This window comes from Homo sapiens, chromosome X (genome assembly GCF_000001405.40).
Source record: "Homo sapiens chromosome X, GRCh38.p14 Primary Assembly".
In the NCBI taxonomy this organism is placed as follows: Eukaryota; Metazoa; Chordata; class Mammalia; order Primates; family Hominidae; genus Homo; species Homo sapiens.
This window is the reverse complement of record NC_000023.11, coordinates 76,006,783-76,015,478: the sequence shown is the minus strand read 5'-3', so window position 1 is coordinate 76,015,478 and position 8,696 is coordinate 76,006,783. Positions and strand designations below refer to the sequence as shown.

The 8,696-nt window shown below is 44.2% G+C and overlaps 1 annotated feature.

Moving 5' to 3' along the window:
- Positions 7,923 to 8,482: an enhancer, noted in NCBI's record as "NANOG-H3K27ac-H3K4me1 hESC enhancer chrX:75226832-75227391 (GRCh37/hg19 assembly coordinates)". NCBI's record gives its function as "activates a minimal SCP1, AML or CMV promoter by ChIP-STARR-seq in primed H9 embryonic stem cells {active_cell/tissue: H9 hESC(primed)}" and the evidence as "EXISTENCE:reporter gene assay evidence [ECO:0000049][PMID:30033119]".

The window sequence follows — 8,696 nt, the reverse complement described above, 5'->3', positions numbered from 1 at the left end:
TTTGGATCCATTGCTGGTGAGCTAGTTTGATTTTTTTGGTGGGCATTAAAGAACCTTGTTTTGTCATATTATCAAAATTGTTTTCTTGTTTCTTCTCATTTGAGAGGTCTATGTCAGAGGGAAGATTTGGGGCTCAAGGGCTGGTGTTCAGATTCTTTTGACCCACAGTGTGATCCTTTGATTCAGTACTCTCCCCCTTTTCTTTGGGATGTGGCTTCCTGAGAGCAAACTGTAGTGATTGTTATTTCTTTTCTGGATCTAGCCACCCAGCATAAGTGCCAGGCTTTGGGCTGTTTTTTTTTGTCAGGGGGTGTACAGAGTCCTGTGATGTGAACCATATTCAGGTCTCTCAGCCATGGATACCAGCATCTGCTCTGGTGTAGGGGGCAGGGGAGTAGAATGGGCTCTGTGTTGGTCTTTAGTTGTAGTTGTTTAGTGCACTAGTTTTGTGCTGGTTGGCCACTTGCCAGGAGGTGGTGCTTTCAAGAAAGCATCAGCTGTGGTAGTATAGGGAGGATCAGGCAGTGGGTGGGGCCCTAGAACTCCCAAAAGAATATGATTTTTTACTTCAACTACCAGGGTCGGTGGGGAAAGACCATGGTGGGACAGGGTTAGGTGTATCTGAGCTCAGACTCTCTGGGTTGGGTTTGTTGTGGCTGCTGTGCAGGACGGGGTGTGGTTCCCAGGACAATGGAGGTACGTTCTCAGGAGGATTATGGCTGCCTCTGCTGCGTCATGCAGGTTGTCAGGGAAGTCGGGGAAAGCTGTCCGTCACAGGCCTCACCCAGCTCCCATGCAACCCAAAAGACTGGTCTTACTCCCACCCTGCCCCAACCAACAGCACCAACTTTGTTTCCAGGTAGTGAGTGAGCAGGATGATAACTTGTCCTAGTCTAGCAGCCTCCCAGCTGAGAAAGCAAGCAAGGCTTTCACACCTCCTTCACCTGTAGAGTCTGCACACCAGACTCACACCCTCCCCGAGTTCTGGACAGGAAGCTTCACATCCGGTTGTAATTGTTAGAAAGTTCAACTAAAGGTTTTCTTGTCCCTGTGGTCTTTTCCTAGTTCCTCTGGTAGCCCTCCCCAAGGATGCCTGTGAGACAAGTGAGAAATGTCTTCCCTGGGGATTCAGAGAGCCCACAGGTCTTTTCCCACTGTTTTCTCTACCCCTGTATTTCGCTCAGCTCTCTACATTGTCTCTGCTCCAGATAAGATCAAATCCTTCTCTCATGACCTGGACCTTCAGATTCCCCACTGAGGGTGTGTGTTCAGGGGTGGATGACCCCCTTTTACTGCCTTCATAGTTTGGGCACTCACAGTATTTTGCTGTCTCCCAGGTCCTGCAGGAGCAATCCACTTCCTTCAAAGGGTTTGTGGATTTTCTCTGCTTTCCTGGTATATTTCCCCAGTAGTTCTTGGAGCAAAAGTTCACAATGTGAATCTCCACACGCTGCTCTGTCCATCCGAGTGGATGCTGCAATTTAGTCCTTCCTCCTATCCATCATTTTTTTTCTCCTTCTCATGTCTTATACATTTAATCTCTCTTTCTTGGTTTCTCTGTCTTTATGTCTCTCTTCATCTTTCTCTAGGCTTCTTGCCATTCTCAATTAAACTCCTTAAAGGTCTTGCATTTGAAATTTGAAATAAATAAACTTTTGCCAGTCACATATTTCTGAATAGCTAATTGCCTATATCTCCTTCATTTAATAAGTAATGTCTTAAAACTAAATGATTTTATTCATGTTCTCTATCTTTCTCATTTTCTACTGAATTATCAAGTAAATGCAACCTGACAATCTCTCTATCTTTCAGAGGTAGAGGATAAAGTTTTCCTGTGGTTGGATGTTGCGATGCCCTATAAATGCCATCATATTCCCCCACCAGGCTATTCCCTGCCCTGTAAGTTTCTCTGAATTTTACACAGAGGCAAGAATAATTAAACTACAATCAAAATAGTCCTCAGGGACTACTGAGATAGTTCCAGGGAGAGTGCTGTTTAATGCTAATTTAGGGTCACAGCTAAGGTGCAGCATTTACTTAGGCCAAATTTAGGCATAACTCTTGAGATGTATAGCCCACTCACTGGCCTCATGGAAGAAATAACTTAAAGAGCTAATAGTGGCCCTTTGAACAATAGTGATAGATGTGTAAAGAAAGCAGCCTGTGTCTTCACTGACCCATACAGCCAAGTAGGTAGAGGAGGTAGAGATCAGAGATGAATGACCAGGACTATTCCAGACAAGGCAGACTTTTGTACAATCCGTTCAGTATATGGAGGCAGAAAGAACTAAATACAAATACCTTTTGGATACGTTTCTAGCACCTTAACTGTTTATTTTCTTGATGATCTAGTTGCTTTTTATCTTTCCAGTTTTTTTCTCTGGCAACCAAACTCCAAGCAGCATTCAGTCATTTTGAGATACTCATCATTACTCAAATGCTTTCTTCCACTTGTCAGTGGTGTCTTTATGAAGAAATTTATTTTCTTTCACCTGCAAGCTCTTAGGGTTAGGATTATGTCAAACACATTTAAGGTCTCAGCTAAAAGGAAGAATTATGTGAAAAAAAACCAACATATTTCCCTGAATTATCTCCTTCTCCTATTTATTATTATATATTCCTGTACTTGTACTGAAGACAGAATTTATCATACTGAATTTTAATTACTTTTTTAAATTAATTTTTAAATTACTTTTAATTTTTAAAATTAATTTTAATTCTTGTCCATTATGAATAATAATTTCTAGCTACTGTGGTTATAGAAAGAATTAAATGTGACATTACATGTGAAATACCTAGCATAGTCATCATGAGGTAGAAAGTATGCAACAAATGGAATGTCTAATTGCCTACCTGGACTCAATGACTTTTCTCCTGGAGATCTAGATTGTAGACCATGGCAGCATCTGGCTAATGCCAGAAATCAAAAGATATCCTTCAATGACCAGAACTCTTCTCTTGTTATCCCAAGAGGCATCCAAGGCCTTGGACCCTGGAAGTGTGTGGTTTTTACTTTCCTCTGGGCTTGTTCTCTCTTCCATGAAGGGGCCTTAAACACATATGCCAGCCATGCTATACACCTGTTTCTCCCAACTTCTTTTTAAATTTTTTATTATTTCTTATTTTATCAGATGGAATCTCGCTCTGTCACCCAGGCTGGGGTGCAGTGACATGATCTCAGCTCACTGCAAACTCTGCCTCGCAGGTTCAAGTGATTCTCCTGCCTTAGCCTCCCAAGTAGCTGGGATTACAGGTGCCCACCACAACATCTGGTTAATTTTTGTATTTTTAGTAGAGACAGGGTTTCACCATGTTTGCCAGGCTGGTCTTGAACTCCTGACCTCAAGTGATCTGCCCATCTCTGCCTCCCAAAGTGCTGGGACTACAGGCATGAGCCACTGCACCTGGCCTGTTTCTCCCAACTTCTGAAGCTTGTCCTAAGTACATGTCTAAATTCAGTCTCATAGGAGAACCCGTAGCTCATGCCATTTTCAGAAAGAGTGTGTACTCCAATATTCCTTGCTAAACTACTTGTCCAGTCTGTCATTTCATGGTTCCAGAGTCCGTCCTTCCATGAGATATCTACCCTAAGACCCAGTCTTTCTTTGAAGAAACCCCTCCAGTTGAGAGTCCATCCAGAGGGTCAGCAATTGACATTTCATGAGCCATTGAATAGTTCAGGCCTTTTGCACTGAGGTCATAAGTACCATTCAGAGCCAATGTGCCTGTGATGACTCACCCTGGTTCTCTGTTGACCCATAGACAATGCTGTTTTCAATCATAACTTCACAACAAAGTAATAGATGTAAAATTTATTTGTTAATATTCCTAAAGAGACAAGGAGGGATTTTGTTTCTTTCAAGGTGATCCCCTTGCCTCTGCCCCCAAATGAAACTCATCTCTACACCCTGAATGTCATAATACCTTTTCTGGGCTGCACTTTTGTTGCAGATTATGTAAGATCACCACTATTGTGGGATCTGGCCAGCAGCCCGCAATGCAATGTCTCTCTTTGTTCCCAGGCAGATCAGCAGGTTGAGAAATAATAGGCACATACAAGATAGTGAAAGCTGGGTCCAGGGGGGTCACCACCTTCTGGTCCCATGATGCTGCCAATGCACTGGATATACCAGCATTTATTATTAAGTTTAGTGAGGGTGAGGGTAGGTTAGTGAGGGATTTAGGGTCATTTGATTATGAGGTGAGATGGTCACATGGGGATGAAATAATTCTTTAACATAACATCTGTATGCAGAAGTACAGTATACAGAGATAAGAATTTACAATATAGTGTGTGCATCAATAATTTCTAACAGAGCCTTAAAACAGAAACAGTCTTTCCATAACCTATGATTAGCAAGATATTAATCAGCAGTAACAGTTGCAGCAAAAGCTGTTTACAAACAATCCATAGAAACAGGACGTGAAGCTAGACAATGCGTTAGACCAGAAATTCTCAGAAGGGAGTATGTCTTAACCCCAAAGAGGCCTAGAAGAGCTGTGGCAAGATGATGAGGGTGTTTATAGCTCTATCTTATCCATATGAACAGGTGCCCCTCATGCGTCCGTTTATAGGCTCTCCACAAGGGTCGCATTCCATTCCCAGAGCTATGAACATCTGCTTTTCTGGGATAGGAATCTTGGTGATGTGAAACCTCCCTGACTGCACGTCTGTTCACAGGCTCTCTGCAGGGGGAAGCACATCATGCACTGTTGGCTCATTCTGGCAGCCCAACCTGGCCTTGTCTTTACACAATCCTGCATACAATTTTGTATTTACAATAATCAGGAGCATTTCATCTTTTATTCCACAGCAATAGTTTCAGGGGGTCTCCCTGTACACCACTAGGTGAGTCTGCAGGACAGTGTCTTGCATGCCTTCTCTGGAACTAGTCAGGGAATAAAGACTCCTGAGGTGTCACTTCTGGCTCACTCCTCTACAATTTCCTCTCTTTTATATCCCATACTGTTTTGCAGTGGTTTCAGGAAGAGTTGTGATGATTATGGTAATGATAATGATGATGGTGATTATGATGGTGATAGCTGTCATTTACTGAGCAGCAACACTGTGTCAAGAACATATTTCTGAGCATCATGAGAATTATCACTTTTAAATCTCACAACAAAACTATGAGGTGTGTAGCAACATTATCTCCAATTTGTAGGCAAAAATTCTGAGGCACAAAAAAAGGGTAGATATAATATCAAAGTCACACACATTGGAAGTTGTTAAGACAGGATCTAATCTGTCTGGTCCCAGAAACAACTAAAGTGTACAAAGAAATAAAGACACAGGAGGGGGCCGCCTAGAAGCAGCTACAGTGCATGGTTTTCACAGAGAGAAAAGGAATGAGCAAATACAGCACCTTCAATTGAAACATCCAGGTACTTGCAGTGGGACTGATCAAGGAAATAGCTCAACTCATGGAGAATGGAGAAAAACAGGGAAGGGAAATGGCCTACCAGCTCCAGAATTCCTGGCAAAGGTGACTGCAACTCAGGCAAGGCAGGAGGTTGAACTATCATACATACCCCTAAAAGGGGGCTGAATACAGGGTGCTGAGTAGTGATGGTCTGCGGGCCCCACTTCTATGGTGCCTCACAGCATAAGACTCACTGGCTTGGAATTCCAGCCAGCCACCGGCAACAGTGTTGCACCTATCTGGGACCTGGGACAGGATGAAGTTCCCAAGGGGAGGGGCAGGCTGCAATCTGTGCTCCTTGAGCAACTCAGCCATTCTAGCCTGTGGGCTTTAGAGAGCCCAAGCTGACCAGGGCAGAAGTGGCACCCCAGCATAACACAGCTGCTCTATAAAAGCATGGCCACACTGCTTCTTTAAGTGAGTCCCTGATTTGTTCCTCCTCAGTAGGGGGAACCTCCTAACTGGGGACTCCAGCTATTCCTGCCAATGTTCTCTGGCTAACAGAGATTTGAAAACTTTCTGAGACAGAGCTGCTAGAAGGAGGAATGGTCTGCCATCTTTGGTGTTTCAGTGACTTAGCCATTCCAGTCTCCAGACTTTGGAGATCCCAAGCTAACTGACTGGAGGTAAAAGCGGTACCCCAGCCCAGCACACCTGCTTTATGAAAGCATTGCTGACTGCCTTTTTAAGTAGGTCCCCAATTCTGTTCTTCCTGAGTGGGTGAGACCTCCCAACCAACATCTCCAGCCACCTCCTACTGGTGCATTCAGGCTGGCAAGAAGTCTGTACATTCCGGAATGAAGCTCCCAAAAAAGGCTGCAGGCTGCCATCTTTGCTGTTGTGCAGTCTTCACTGGTGATACCTCCAGATACTGAAAAATCTAAGGTGACTAAGGATTGGAGTGGACCCCCAGCAAACTGAAGCAGCCCTACTGAAATGTGGCCAGACTGTTAAGAGAAAATAAAACCCAACCAAATATCAATAACCTCAAAGAATGAAGGTAGATAAGCCCACAAAGATGAGAAAGAATTACTGCAAGAACACTGAAACCTCGAAAAGCCAGAGTGCTCTTGTTCCTACAAATGCCCAAATCACCTCTTCAGCAAGGGTTCAGAACTGGGCTGAGACTAAAACGGCTGAAGTGACAGAAGTAGAATTCAGAATATGGATAAAAATGAATTTCACTGAGCTAAAGGAGCACATCGTATCCCAATTCAAGCAAGTTAAAAACCATGATAAACCAGTGCAGGAGCTGACAAACAAAATATCCAGTACAGAGAAGAATGTAACTGACCTGATAGAGCTGAAAAATACACAAGAATTTCATAATTCAATTGCAAGTATTAATAGCAGAATACACCAAATGGAGAAAAAGTGTGAGCTTCAAGACCTTCTTTTTGAAATAAGACAGGCAGACAAAAATAGAGAAAAAAGAATAAAAGGAAATAAACAAAACCTGCAGGAAATATGGGATTGTGTAAAAAAAATGAATCTGTGACTGATTGGTGTACGTGAAAGAGATGGGGAGAATAAAACAAATTTGAAAAACATATTTCAGGATATTATTTATAAAAAGTTTCCCAACCTAGCTAGACAGGCCAACATTCAAATTCAGGAAATGCAGAGAACCCCAGTAAGATACTCCATGAGAAGATCATCCCCAAGACACACAATCATCAGATTCTACAAGGTTGATATGAAAGAAAAAATGTTAAGGGCAGCCAGAGACAGAGACAAGGTCACCTGCAAAGGGAAGCCCATCGGACTAAAAGTGGACCTCTCAGTGGAAACCCTCAAAGCCAGGAGAAATTGGGACCAATATTCAACATTCATAAAAGAAATTTTAACCCAGAATTTCATATCTGGCCAAACTATGCTTCATAAGCAAAGAAAAAATAAGATCCTTTTTCAAACAAGCATATGTTGAAGGTATGTATTACCGCCAGACCTGCCTTACAAGAGCTCCTGAAGGAAGCACTTAGTATGGAAGGGAAAAACTATTACCAGCCACTACGAAAACACACTGAAGTACATACACCAGTGACACTATGAAGCAACCACATAAATGTTTGCAAAATAACCAGCTAACATCACAATGACAGAATCAAATTCATACATAACAATGCTAACATTAAATGTAAATGAGCTAAATGCCCCAATTAAAAGACACAGAGCAGCAAGATCGATAAAGAACCAAAACCCGACTGGGGAGGAGCCAAGATGGCCGAATAGGAACAGCTCCCGTCTACAGCTCCCAGCGTGAGCGACGCAGAAGACGGGTGATTTCTACATTTCAATCTGAGGTACCGGGTTCATCTCACTAGGGAGTGCCAGACAGTGGGTGCAGGCCAGTGGGTGCGCGCACCGTGCGCGAGCCGAAGCAGGGCGAGGCATTGCCTCACCTGGGAAGCGCAAGGGGTCAGGGAGTTCCCTTTCCGAGTCAAAGAAAGGGGTGACGGACGCACCTGGAAAATCGGGTCACTCCGACCCGAATATTGCGCTTTTCAGACCGGCTTAAAAAACGGCGCACCACGAGACTATATCCCACACCTGGCTCGGAGGGTCCTACGCCCACGGAATCTCGCTGATTGCTAGCACAGCAGTCTGAGATCAAACTGCAAGGCGGCAACGAGGCTGGGGGAGGGGCGCCCGCCATTGCCCAGGCTTGCTTAGGTAAACAAAGCAGCCTGGAAGCTCGAACTGGGTGGAGCCCACCACAGCTCAAGGAGGCCTGCCTGCCTCTGTAGGCTCCAACTCTGGGGGCAGGGCACAGACAAACAAAAAGACAGCAGTAACCTCTGCAGACTTAAATGTCCCTGTCTGACAGCTTTGAAGAGAGCAGTGGTTCTCCCAGCACGCAGCTGGAGATCTGAGAACGGGCAGACTGCCTCCTCAAGTGGGTCCCTGACCCCTGACCCCCGAGCAGCCTAACTGGGAGGCACCCCCCAGCAGGGGCACACTGACACCTCACACGGCAGGGTATTCCAACAGACCTGCAGCTGAGGGTCCTGTCTGTTAGAAGGAAAACTAATAAACAGAAAGGACATCCACACCAAAAACCCATCTGTACATCACCATCATCAAAGACCAAAAGTAGATAAAACCACAAAGATGGGGAAAAAACAGAACAGAAAAACTGGAAACTCTAAAATGCAGAGCGCCTCTCCTCCTCCAAAGGAACGCAGTTCCTCACCAGCAATGGAACAAAGCTGGATGGAGAATGATTTTGACGAGCTGAGAGAAGAAGGCTTCAGACGATCAAATTACTCTGAG